The 14,380-nt window shown below is 37.8% G+C and overlaps 1 long non-coding RNA gene across 2 annotated transcripts in view, besides 1 other annotated feature; it reads left to right on the forward strand.

The window, feature by feature from the left end:
• LOC105379117 (uncharacterized) overlaps positions 1 to 14,380 on the forward strand; it is a 122,892-nt gene that overhangs the window by 55,828 nt on the left and 52,684 nt on the right. The window lies entirely within an intron of this gene.
• Positions 4,777 to 5,071: a silencer, noted in NCBI's record as "tiled region #13215; HepG2 Repressive non-DNase unmatched - State 24:Quies". NCBI's record gives its function as "represses a minimal TATA promoter and a strong SV40 promoter by Sharpr-MPRA in HepG2 cells {active_cell/tissue: HepG2}" and the evidence as "EXISTENCE:reporter gene assay evidence [ECO:0000049][PMID:27701403]".

Below are 14,380 nucleotides of genomic sequence, written 5' to 3' on the forward strand. Positions count from 1 at the left end.
AATTACCCATATGGAATATTTTTCCATGGTGGAGACTGCCCAGTCAACGTCAATGTTAATATCAATAAGCACGGCCATCTCAGATTTACCTAAATCCATTCCAATTTTCCCAGACTACTGATCGCACATGTTCCATACACGAGCTCACGTAGAGAATCTAGATGGGAGTGGAAAGAACTTTTATAAAAATGTAAAAAGTCATCTCCACGGATTTCAAAGGCTTCCTTCAGAAATACGACAAATAATTCAAAAACCCCTGCAACAAGATAGTCATGCTCTAAAATTTAGAGAAATTACTAAGTGTTAACTATAATACAATTCACTCTTAGAAGTTTTCCATTTTACTTCTTGCCCATGTCTTACCTAATTAATGTTTCTCTTTGAGATAAAAGAGCAGTGATTTTCTTGGCTGTTCCTTTGCTAAGGCAGTCACTATTCTTTCAAAATCTTGAACTTTAGCTTCTTTTCTACTAAGGAAAGCCCAGGAAAAATGTGCAGAGTCAAATTCAGGAATTGAAATATTGTTAAAATATTGCTTAACCTCAGAACCACCCTGAGCCAGTGCTAAACAATATTTGTTATTTCCTTCTATGTCATGGCTATCATTCATTCATTCATTCATCTGTTTGATCATTTTTTTTTATTTATCTGTTCATCCAACAAAGATTTGTTGATCATACTTTGACTGCCAGGCACAGGGTTAGACACTGAAACTCACAAAGATCAATAGGACACAGCCTATGAGGCATTTCACTTACAGGAGGAACAAGGGGATGAATAAGCTTTATTTCATTTGAACCTCATACCTACCCTGTTGGGTGGGACAGATGTTGTTATTCTTTTTTTAATATAAAACCTTTTCTTTCTTAAAATATGTTCATTTCATTCTCACATTTAAATGCTACAAATGAATATAAAAATTTAATCTAAAATTTGAGCTTCCAGGAAAAATAAATTCAACACAGAGCGATAATCTTTGTTAACCACACATAGCACCCCTGTTGTTTTTTCTACATAGTAGAGATACTTTTACATATTTTATTTATACTTGGCAATCCAGTATTGTATTATTTTCCATTATTTGTATCTATATATTTTCTCTAAGTAGTTTGTAAGAGGTCCTTTGGGGCAAGGATTATGTCCAACAATTTTTGCTAATTGCTTATACTAGAATTATTCTGCCTCAATGAAGCCCCTTTTAACTCCATCCCACAACTATTTGCCCTTCCTGGCAATGCCTAGTTCCCAGGATATAAAAATGGGTGCATGGAAAACAAGGAAGAGTGAAAACCCAGAGAAATAAGAATAACAAATACACAGAGTCACCCTTCCTGCTGCTGTAGCAGGTGGGCAATGATTGTAAATAAGCAGTTTCTCCTATGTGCAGAGACATGGCTCAAACCAAGGCAGAATTCCCTGTGTAAAATGAACACATGGTTGTCATTGTCCAAAGTACAGGTGGTACTGTATTTTCCTATAGAAGATTATATGTTCTGGATATGAAAAACATTTTGTAAAAGTATACAATTTTAATCCATATGACCTAGGTAGTTTTTTAAATAAAAAATTTTAGAATTTAAAATTTATTTTGTTTCAGATTTTAAGATAATCTTTCGTTCCATACCCAATCATTGTTAGTTGTATCAAATATATTCCCTTGCCAGTATTTCTAATAGCATGCCCTAATTAATTTATTTTATCTTTTGGCATAAATCAATTAAAATTGAGTTTGGTAAGTCTCAGGGGAGTATTGTTTCACATTAAAAACTTTTTTTTTCTCAAGAGATCACAGATGTTGTTATTCTTACTTTATAGATAAAGAAATGGAGGTTCACGTAATGGTTAAGTGAATTGTTCAGGGCCTTGCAAATAGTGAGTGTTGAACTAAGACACAAATCCGGTCTTATAGTTCCAAATCCATGTTCCTGTCATTGCCATTTTACACAGTGCTAATGTCCTTCCTTGAGAAGCTCCTGGGGGCAGCATTGCTGATGTGATCACTTTACTGACCCTTGACATCTGTGTCATGAACCATGAAGTATGTTCATAGAAGGATGAATTCACTAAATATGATATCATTTTGTTCCCTTTATCTGTTAATAACAGAAAAGCATATGCTATGCCCCAAAGTTTTCTATAGCTGTGGCTTTTTAGCAGAAGAAAACTTTAAATCTAATTAAGCCCCATGCATGGAAAAATCAGATAATTCCTCAAAGCAAACTAACACACATCTTCCCAGTGATGTTATCTTTACCATGTATTTTCCTTTCCTGCAACAGCTGAAATTATCATGGAGTTCCCTGCAGAGCCAAATTTTAATATACAGCAAACTAAATTGTGATAAGTTTGAGAAAGCAATAAAGCTAGGTATGTATCACTGGCATAACAATACAAGCTGATTGACTGATTATTAGGAGTGATTTACCCAAAAATAGAATTTAAACATGAATGGTGGAGAGCCCAGGCCTGGGCTGGAAGAAACACACACATAGTTTCTGTAATTATAAACAAATAACATCAGGTTTGGGTAGTACTTCATCCCTCTCCTCTACCTTCTCACCTCTGGGGTAATGTATGATATGGCCTAGAACTGACCAAAAAAAGGCTTCCACATCCTGGATGTCATTGGACACATTAGTGCAGCTAGATCAGTGAAACTCAATTTTGGGACTCAGTTATGATCCCTATGTTACAGGGATCATAAAGAAAAAAGAGCCCGGGCATGATGTAATCCCAGCACTTTGGGAGGCTGAGGCGGGAGGATCACCTGAGGTCAGGAGTTTGAGACCAGCCTGGCCAATGTGATGAAAACCTGTCTCTACTAAAAATACAAAAATTGTCTAGGCTTGGTGGCGTGAACCTGTAATCTCAGCTTCTCAGGAGGCTGAGGCAGGAGAATTGCTTGAACCCGGGAGGCGGAGGTTGCAGTAAGCCAGTAAGCTGAGATTGCACCATTGCACTCCAGGCTGGGCAACAAGAGCAAAACTCCATCTCAAAAAAAAAAAAAAAAAAAAAAAAAAAAAAGCTTTTCTTTCTTGCTTTTTTGCTTGCTTGCTTTCTTGCTTGCTTGCTTTCTTCTTTCTTTTCTATTTTCTTTTTCCTTCCTTCCTTCCTTTCTTTTCTTTCTTGTTCTTTTTTTTTTTTTTTCTCAATTTGCCACTGGGAGAAGTCTAGAGGTTATAAGGGCCACAACATAGAAAGAACCTGTCTGAGAGTGAAGCCAATACAGAGAAAATCTGAGTTAAGAAATGAAGATAACTGATTCTCAATTCTTAATATCATCATTTGAAACTCTGGGCCCTGCCATGCCTGAAGTGAGAGCTATCTCTGTATTACTTAGATACTTAAGTTAATAAATTCCTTTTCTTGTTCACCTTCTCTCTCTCTCTTTCAACCAGTTCAGTGTGTTTCTGTCAGTTGCTACTAAGAAGTCTAAGGAAAACAGCAATCAACCTTTCTTCCCAGTGATTTTGTTTCTCTTTGTTTACAAATTATAGATTATTAGGGACAGCTGTTGTATCTCTTTGTTGGAAAAATTACATATTATTTGGGACAGTGACCATTCAGACCCATGGATCCTTAGATCCATAGATTGATGTGCAATCCACAAGACTCAGCCTTGCCCCTTTTCTTGATGTTTAGTGAGCAACTGAAATGTTTTTGGAAAACATAGCCTAGAAAGATTTATCATTTTATTTCCTAATGAAAAGTAAAATATATTATGAAATTCTGAGGCCAGAAACAGTTAAATGCTTACAAAGTTAATGGCATTTTCAGTTACTATAATAAAATGCAATATTTTACTTTAAAGATCACAGCCATTTAAAATATACCCAATAAATCTGCTACACTGATTTCACCACAATATTCTCTTCCTCATAATGTCTTTAATCCTGATAATTTCTCTGAAAAAAATATGTTAGGTTTCAGTCAAATTCCATGAGCAGCTAGTTTTATATGGTTTGCTTAATGTGTAGAACTGAAAAGGGAGGAATGGTGTCTCAAAGTACAGGTCTTTAGAGACTTGCATCTGAAATCCCCATGGTAGAAATAGTTTCTCAATTAGCTTTTCTTTTTCTCTTTGTTCCTTTCTTTTCTTTTCTTTTTCCTTCCTTCCTTCCTTGCTTCCTTCCTTCCTTCCTTCCTTCCTCCAACAATAGCAATGACAGAATTTCTGAGGAACTACAGACTTGGTACACACAGCTTAGTGAGACACATTCTCACCATTTAGTATCTAGTGGCAGAGAAGAGTATGTCAATTATTACAATGCGTTCTTTACTTTAAAAATCCCAGTGATATCTTCAACGCTTTCATTGGAAAATTCTCAGACCCCCCACATTATAGGATGAATTTTGGGTAGGCAGTTCAAATTTGAAACTAGTTTATGAGGCAAATATGCTGGCTTATCTGGTTTGGGTAACCCATAAACATATATATCTAACATTGCCTTGATGAATATGCTAAAGTTTAAAATAAAACATGAAAATACCGTTGATACTTTATAGGAAAGTACACGTGTAACCAAGGCAATGCTAAAAGACAAGTGGCAAGAAAGCCAACACATGCTATGCACTAGTGTGCTAAGTACTTTTATAACAAATTCCCTTAATTAGTTCTGACAACACGTTGTGAGGTTGGCACTGTAATCCTTGTGGGCCCATTCTCCTCTCCCCACTAGGCAGGCCCCATCCTCTAAGGCAGTTTTAAAGGCTGGAGGAGCCCTCTGTACAGTGCTGGATGTTCCAAACCTCGACAGCCAGGTGCAGGACAGTGAGCACTTGCCATTTCCCAGTCCTCCCGATTTCTGGGGTTTCCTTCCAAGCAAAGTTCTGATTAGACTAGGTGGCACAATGTAGATGTTCATCTACTTGATTTATGACTTACCTCTGACTCCCCAAAAGTCAGCCCCAAGAAGCAGTAGGTTATCAGTACCAGATGTTCTCCTATGCTCAGGCATGAGATAACACTTTCCTGTAGAAATTGTATTCTTCCTTCTGACACAAATTTTTGTCTGTGCTGAAATCCCCTTTCAAATTCCCTCGCAGATAATTTTTAAAGCAAAGCTAATTCAGTTAGAAGGAATTGTTTTCTTTGTAATGTAATTATGTTAAAGCAAAGATCCTAATGTCAGGGCAACCTGTACAGTCTTTTGACCAAGATTTTTATTTCTATCTGTCTCGTAGTTTAAAAAATGAAAATCGTGCATAGTTCTGCCTACATCCTCTCCTTGTTTTGTCTTTATCTCTCTGTGTTCTGCTTGCTCGACACACTTCCTCTCTTTAAGTAGATCAACTTCTGCTATTTCTATTAGTTAACTTTAATCATCCTCCTGAACTACAGGTGGCCCTTCTTTTTTTTTTTTTTTTTTTTTTTTTGACAGAGTCTTGCTCTGTTGCCCAGGCTGGAGTACAGTGGCGCAATCTCGGCTCACTGAAACCTCTGCCTCCTGGGTTCAGCAATTCTCCTGCCTCAGCCTCCTGAGTTGCTGGAGTTACAAGCGTGTGCCACCATGCCCAGCTAATTTTTTTGTATTTTTAGTAAAGATAGGGTTTCACCGTCTTGGTCAGGCTGGTCTCGAACTCCTGACCTGATGATCTGCCCACCTCAGCCTCCCAAAGTGCTGGGATTACAGGCGTGAGCTACCACGCCCGGCCCAGGTGGCCCGTCTGAGCTCTCTCAATACTTCCCATGTTACAAATGAAAACAATGAGGTTCAGAAATTAGTTACATTACTCACAACATAAGGCAAACATTCTAATTCAGAACTGATTTTTTCCAAAGCACATAGGTTTTACCCCATACTCTGTGGTCCACTCATGACTGGTTCATTTATGGTTGATTTAGGAAATTAAATTGTAAGAGATTGGACTTTTTTGATTACTTAACATTAATCATACCCTATGGCCAATTATCTTCCTGTGGAACATTTTCAATAACATGTAAATAAAATGTACATGTTCACATATTCACATATAAATAATATTTATTATTATTATTTCACCTGAAATTGATTTTTCTCTTCAGACTTTTAATAAGAATCATTTCACATAGCCTTGAAATTTTAAAAAAAATTATGCTGCTTTTACCTACAGATCTTGTCAAAAAATGTTCTCCAGGGGAGAAAAATCAAGCAATAAATAATGTACAAGGTTAACTCTAGTTTGATCAAAATAACATCTGCCATTAGTTTAGTTTGTATGATAGTACTGGCATTAGTATGTGTAAATATAACTATTGAAAAAGAGCCTATGCCAGGTTCCAAATGGCCAATAACTATAGTTAGCACTGGAGGCTGAAAATATTTCCAAGTTTATCTATATTTTGAAGTTTTGCTTGCAGTTTATTCTGTGATATTCTTCTTACTTTGATGAACAGGATTTCATTTTGTTTAAAGGATTATTTGCAATCTCATAAATAATAATTACTTTATTTTAAAATAGAGTATAGTCCTGAACTTCTGTTTTTTTTTTAAGATTGAAGTTATTGCTGAAGTGCTTCTCAAGTTTTATTTATTTATTTATTTATTTATTTTGAGGCTGAGTCTTGCTCTGTCACCCAGGCTGCAGTGCACTGGTGCAGTCTCGGCTCACTGCAACCTCCCCCTCCTGGGTTCAAGCGATTCTCCTGCCTCAGCCTCCTGAGTAGCTGGGATTACAGGCATGTGCCACCACACCCAGTTAATTTTTGTATTTTTAGTAGAGATGGTGTTTCATCCTGTTGGCCAAGCTGGTCTTCAATTCCTGACCTCAAGTGATTCGCCCTCCTCGGCCTCCCAAAGTGCTGGGATTACAGGCATGAGCCATCACGCCTGGCCCTCAAGTTTCTAAAAGCGCTAATTATTGTCAGTAACTTCTACTAAACTCTTGTTCAACTTCCATTTTCTGCATTTAATTATGTTAATCTGCTAACAAGCCAGACTGTGATATTCATTCATTCATTGAAATGATTTGAGTGACTATTATGGGTGAGGCACTGTACAGATACTGAGGATAAAATAGCAGGCAAGACAAAGTCCTTACCCTCATAGTGTTCAGTGGGGAACAGAGATGGTCAGCAGCTAGTAAGCAAATATCCCACCCACTGTTTCCCATCTTGGGGTGGTAAAGGAAAAGCTAAAAAGCAAAAACAGGTGAAAATTAAGGTTGAGAGTTCAATACTCTAGATTGAGTCTCATTGGTTCATACTTCAAAAAGATTCCCTTTGCCACAAATTCCTGAATCTTGGCTGTAGCACTTTTGTTGTATCACCATAATAACACTGTCTACTTCGCTTCCATAACAGAGTGGCAAAACTTGGCCTAGTTAAGACTGCAAAACAGGCAAAATTAGCATTAATAATTTATTTATTCATTCATTTCAACAAACATGTATTAGTTATGTTACATACTTTTGGAAGACCTGAATTGTAAAGATCAAAAATTATACACAGAAAGACTTCTGCTTTGGGGCAGGATGTGATAGGCCAATACTCTTACCTGAACAAATGGAAAATATTAAAAAAGTCATTTTCAAAAGCACCTGAGAGCTGTGAAAGCAACGAAGACTAAGTGAACTAAAATTCCAGAGAGAGAAAGAGAGAATAATTTCGAGGTGATCTGATGATTGCTGGCTATTTTTCTCTCAGGACATTTTGTTGGTTCTGGGAGTACACTGATGGTTTGGGCTTGACCCAGGTAGAGGGACTCTGCTGCAAAAAGAGAAACCAGTGAAGCTTTTAATAATCCTGTGGAGCACTGGAAACTTGAGGAGCCTCAAATGCATGCTTGTTTCTCCCCATTGTACTGAAATCTCCCACAGTCTCATAGAGCTTAGAAAACAAAGACTCTTCAGGAAGAGGCCTGCTTCAAACACATGTCCAATCTCCCTCTGAAGACATTTATCAGATCTTGAAGTTGCATGGGGGAGGAGGCCAAAAAGTAAGCTGAAAACTTCCAAATGGCAGAAATGTATCTCCTACAGCCTTTCAATATGAGGAAGAGCCAAAGAACCACCATGCTTGCAATGAAGAGCCTGGGATAGCCATGGCTCAGGAACATGATTAAATCAGAAATAGACTGACTTTTACTAAAACTTTATCTCTGTTCAATTTACGATTGGATTGAAGTGATTGGACCCTTTTATGTGCCAAACAGAGATGTATTAGTCTGCTTGAGCTGCCATAACAAAATAGTGCAGACCGGGTGGCTGACATAACAGAAAATTTACTTCTCACAGTTTTGAAGACTGAGAAGTCCACGATCAGCATTCTGGTTAGTTGGGTTTCTGGGGAGGCCCCTTTTCCTGGCTTGTAGACTGCTACCTTCTCATTACACCAGCACATGGCCTTTCCTCTTTCTGGGCTGCATGCTCATGGGGGCGGTGGGGGGCGGGGGGCAGGAGAGAGAGAGAGAGAGAGAGAGAGAGAGAGAGAGATGACTTCTCTCTCTTCCTCTTCTTATAAGGCCACCAATCCTATGAGATCAAAGTCCCACCCTTATGACCTAATTTAACCTTGATTACTTCCTTAGAGGCCTCGTCTCCAAATATAGTCATATTGGGGGTTAAGGCCTTAACAAATGAATTTAGGAGAACATAATTCAGTTTACAGCAAGAAGATAAATTATTTTTGCGTGGAATATAATAATATCTGAAACCTCCACAGGTCCTTTATACATAACATTCTACCTACAAATAAGAGTCACTACACATGTGAAGCAGCAATGTCATATGACCAATAATCAAGAGAGGAAAAAAAAGCAAAACAAGCAAATAGATGATCTGCATAATTGAAGTTAACAGACAAGAACTTTAAAACAACCATAATTGGGACTTCTGGATAGCTAAGGGCATAACAGCTGCACCATTTAGCTATATGCCTCCCTGTATTTCCTCCCTAAAGAATTAAAACCAACAAAAAATGGTATGTAAATCTAGACGAAACCATGCCTTCGGCATAACTTGAAGACAGAGAATGCTAAAATATTAAAATGACCGTGACTAGGCTGGGCACAGTGGCTCACACCTGTAATCCCAGCACTTTGGGAGGCTGAGGCAGGTGGATCACTTGAGGCCAGGAGTTTGATACCAGCCTGGCCAACATGGTGAAACCCTGTCTCTACTAAAAATACAACAAAATTAGCCAGGCATGGTGGTACCTACCTGTAATCCCAGTTACTGGGAGGATGAGGTACAAGAATTGCTTGAACTCGGGAGGGAGGTTGCAGTGAGCCGAGATTGTCCCACTGCACTCCAGCCTGGATGACAGAGTAAGACTCTGTCTCAAAAATAAAGTAAATAAAATGACTGTGACTAAACAGAGAAAGTCACTACATTCCAGTGTAAGATCTCATATTCTGGCTTGATCCCTGTATTGCACAAGGCTCTTTAGAGAGTAAAGACAGACTGAGAAAAACTTCAGGAAAGTAAAAAAAAAAAAAAAAAAAAAAAAAAAGGGAGAAACTAGCAAAAGGGCCTAAGGTTCATAAAAAACTACCATCAAAAAGACCAGGTTGATCTTACCTATGAAAATATTTTAACAATATCCTGGCAGAGCATAGCATGGATTGCAGGGAAAGAACTTCAGAGTATGCATGATTAAAAGGGTCAGGAGTTATTTAAACAGCACTGTTCAAAACATATTGTTAAATGGGAGAAAAAAAGACAAAAAGGAAGAGGGAAGCACCCTTTGCAACTGGACGGTGAAGGGGAAATAAGCAATTGGTGTAAGGATTAGGGTCTTGCAAAATGAAAGAGAAACACAACATTGGAAGGTTTATAGTCTTTCTGCCACCACTAAAACAATGAGCAAATGACCCCTAAAGCATATGAACCTCACTATATTGCTAATGAATGAAGCCATTAAACTAGGAATCTTATGATCATAGTACCATAAAAATGAAAAGATACATCAACAGATTCATCCAGAGCCTTTGCCAAGAAAGCAGGGAAGACAATTCTACATATATCATCCATGTAACAACCCCCATACTCCTTGAAAAAAACCCTGAAGCAGAAAAATTCTGTAAGTCAACATTCCAAACTGGATCATATACATTCATTCAAGCATTTGAGAATATGGAAAAAATGCTTGAATTGGAAACTCAAAAATTAAGAACAGAAGTGGATAAAAACTTCACAAGGGAAAAAATGAAAACAGAGTTGACAAGTCAGGAAAGAAATGGAAGAAAAATACAAAATTATCCAAGAAAGAAAACAAATTACAAGATTCTCAAAGAAGAATAGACACACATGAAGATTTAATAGGCAAAGAAGGAAAGCAGGAAATTATTAAATGAGAGACTAAAGTAAAAAGAAGGTAAAACTAGTCAAGAGAAAGCAATAGAAATGGAAGAAAGGCAAAGAAGGACAGTACATAAAAAACCACAGACATATTCTTGACTATTGATATGAAAATACTAAATAAATATTAGCAAGCAGAATCCAATATCCCATTGAGAAATACACCTAACCAAGTGGCATTTATTCTAGGAATGCAGTTTGTTCAATATTAGTAAATCCATTGATATCATCCTATACTATATCAATAGTTCTAAAGAAAAATCACATGATTATCTCCATGGATGCTAAAAAGGCTGTGACAAAATTCAAGTAAAAATTCTCAATAAAAATACATTCACAATAAAGCTACTCAGAAACAGGAATTGAGGAATACTTTCCCACATGATAAAATTGATGTGTGTGGACACACACACGTACACACCTTAAGTCTTCAATCTAGTATATTATGTAATGGGGAAACACTAGTGGCAATTCAACTAATATCAGGAACAAGCAAAGAATGCCCACTACCTCTGTTCCTATTTAACCCTATAGTAATGTTATTAGCCAATGCAATTATACCAGAGAAATCAAGTAGATGCACAGGAATAGATTAAAGAATGTAAATAATAGTATAACTGGAAAGCCTTAGAACATTGCAGGATTCTTAAGGGATAAGCAAAGAAAGTGATCGCCTGAGATAGAAGTGTCTCTTGCTGTGAATATTGTTGAAATGACAACAAAGGATTTAGAATATTACACAAATTTAGTTAATAAAGCAGCAAAAGGGTTGCAGAATTGACTCCAATTCTGAAAGAAATTCTACTTCTACTGTGGATAAAATGCTATCAAACAGCATTGCATGCTACAGAGAAGTCTTTCATGGAAGGAAGAGTCAATCCATGTGACAAACTTCATTGTTATCTTATTTTAAGAAATTGCTACAGCCACCCCAACTTTTAGCAACTACCACTCTGGTCAGTCAGTAGTTATCAATGTCGAGCCAAGAGCCTCCACCAGCAAAAAGTTTACAACTTGCTGAAGGCTCAGATGATGGTTAGCATTTTTAGCAATAAAGTTTTTTTGTTTTGTTTTTGATTTCTTTTCTTTCTTTCTTTCTTTTTTTTTTTTTTTTTTTTTGAGGCAGAGTCTTGCTCTGTCACCCAGGTGGGAATAGTAGTGTGATCATGACTCACTGCAGCCTCAACCTCCTGGGCTCAAGTGATCCTCCCACTTCAGCCTCCCAAGTAGCTGGGACTATAGCCCCCACACTTGGCTAACTTTTAAATTTTTTGTAGAGACGGGGGTCTCACTGTGTTGCCCAGGCTGGTCTTGAACTCCTGGCCTCAAGTGATCCTCCATCCTTGGCCTCCTAAAGTGCTGGGATTACAGGCATGAGCCACCATGCCCCAAAATATTTGTACATTGCTTTTTTAGACATAATGCTATTGCACACTTAATAGACTACAGTGTATTGTAAACATAACTTTTATATGCACCAGGGAACCAAAAATTTGTGAGACTCACTTTATTCGAGACCCTCAGTATCTCCAAGGTATGCTCGTATAAGAAAATGTATGTATGTCTGCTAATTTGTACAAAAAAGAAAATATAACCCTGACCTTAAAGAAACTAGTTACCTATGGGGCATGAGGGAAGAAAGAATAGCTGAAATTGAAATGGAGTAGTAAGGATAAGAAGAAAATGATACTTCTCTAAGTATACCTTAATGTATAGCTCTGACTCTCAGAACCCAGGGCCTGCCAGTTGGTTTAGCACGACATGAGGCCCACAGCCGGGTCTTCCTCAAGGTTGGACACAGGAGGCCACCAGGGATGCAATACTCAGTCCTTAGTTTTGCACTCTTCACACAAACTAGATTCCATTTATAAAATAACTTATAGTTCTTTGTCTAGATTTTTTAATCTGAAAATAATACTCTATTTAGAGCAATGGTTAAAAGAAAAATCAATTTTTAACTACCAAATGAATAATTTTATTTCTAATCTGCCAATTACGAGCTTATAACCAATCCTTTTTAACACCCACAAGGTGCCCCAGGCACTTTTCACAGCTCTGGACAATCAAACTAGCTAATTCTCAGATGGTTGACTTGGTGCAGGGGTTAATTACCTCCTTAACGCGTTCCTCTGTCTTTCTGAGCACTAACTGCTGTTAATTACCTTCAATTTTTTGTGGTAAGAACATTTAAAATCTACTCTGAGCAATTATGAAATATACATTAGTATTTATTATAGTCACTATCCATTGTACCCCATAAATATATAACATATAGTATTATTATTTGTCTATTAAAAATAAAATCTAAAGAAATTATCTTCAGTTTGTGAGGCAATCACAGGAGAAGGACAAAGGGAAGACTGGGAACTTGTACACTCTGCATTTCATCATTTGTGTGCAATTACTAAACCAGTTGAGGAGCCTCCTCTTTTCACACTCGGTGGCTTGCGTTGTGCCATATTTGCTACAAAGACTTATTATCACCATAAGCCATATGTCCTGATTATCCTGGTTTAACTCTATTAAATTTGAACCTTTTAATTTAAGTTGCTAATGTTATTTAGCCTTGTTTCCTTGGTATAGGTCGCAAAATTAGAGCTGTATTTGAATTCTGACTTTTGCTTACTGACGTTGGGCAAAACCCCTTTGAATCTTGATTTTTCCATCTCTAAACTTGCAATAATAATAATTGTATATAATAAAACCTATATCACAGTGCCAATTACCAGTAACATTTAATAAATCAATTTCTCCCCATTTATTTGTATTTAATCTTCCTCTGTAGTCAGTGAGAACTCATATTCTATCACTTTTTTTTTTTTTTGAGACAGGGTCTTGCTTTGTCACCTAGGCTGGAGTGCAGTGGTGTGAACACAGCTCACTGCAGCCTTGACCTCCTGGGCCCAAGCAACCCTTCTGCCTCAGCCCCAAAAGTAGCTAGGACTACAGGTGCATGCCACCACACCCAGCTTATTTTTGTATTTTTCTTAGAGACGGGGTTTCACCATGTTGCCCAGGCTGGTCTGGAACTCCTGAGCTCAGGCCATCCACCCACCTCAGCCTCCCAAACTGATAGGATTATTACAGGCATGAGCCACTGCACCTGGCCCTGTTGGTACTTTAAAAGATTACACAGAACTGAGTTTCCTAAGGTCATTTGTCTCAGTCAAGGTTTGTGACTGCAAGCAACAGAAACTTTAACTTTGGCTGATTCAAGGAGAAAATTAATTAATGGATATTGGGCAGATTATAAAATTTCCAGGAAATCTTGAGAACCAGACTTGGAGACTACATAATCAGGAAAAAACGCTGCAAAATAAGCCTCAGAACTATTGGGAGCCACACCTCTGCTTTTGCAGTGGGTACAGGCATCTTTTCTGATCCGGGAGTCAGAATGACACTACCAGATCACTGAGCGTTGGTCTCTAGGTGTGACCGTGGTAGAATTGAGTCCTTGGCGATCTCTGATTCTTCATGTCAACAGCTTCTGAACCAAATTCTAGGGCACACTCATCAGATTAGCCAAGGCTACAGCTTTTGTCTGTGCACTGGCTACAGAGGAGAATGGAAAAATGTCTGTGAGATTTTTTTCAACTTATCTAGGGGGAGTTGAACCATGTCTCATAAAGTGAGGTCTCTCAAAATAGGAAAGGGGGTCAGGTACTGGTCAGTCAAAAAAAATGACAAATGCCTACTACAGAATTTCAGGAGATGTACTAGGCATCGCATGAAAAAATGGGGGTATATTCCATAATCAAATAAATTGGGTGTATTTGTCAGGGTTCTCCAGTGAAACAAACAGAACAATAGGAGATATATCTATATCTACATCTGTATCTAATACATATCTATATCTGCATGTGTGTGTATGTATACACACATATATATATCACACTAAATAAGATTGTGCAGAATTGGCTTGTATGATTATGGGGGCTGTGAAGTCCCACAATCTGCCATCTATGAGCTGGAGACCCAGGAAAGCCGGTGGTGCAGTTTGAAGGCCTGAGAGCCAGAGAGACAATGGTGTAGATTCCAGTCTGAGTTTGAAAGCCTGAAAACCAGGAGCACTGAGGACAAGAGCAGATCAATGTTCCGGATC

This window comes from Homo sapiens, chromosome 5 (assembly GCF_000001405.40).
Source record: "Homo sapiens chromosome 5, GRCh38.p14 Primary Assembly".
NCBI classification, from domain to species: domain Eukaryota; kingdom Metazoa; phylum Chordata; class Mammalia; order Primates; family Hominidae; genus Homo; species Homo sapiens.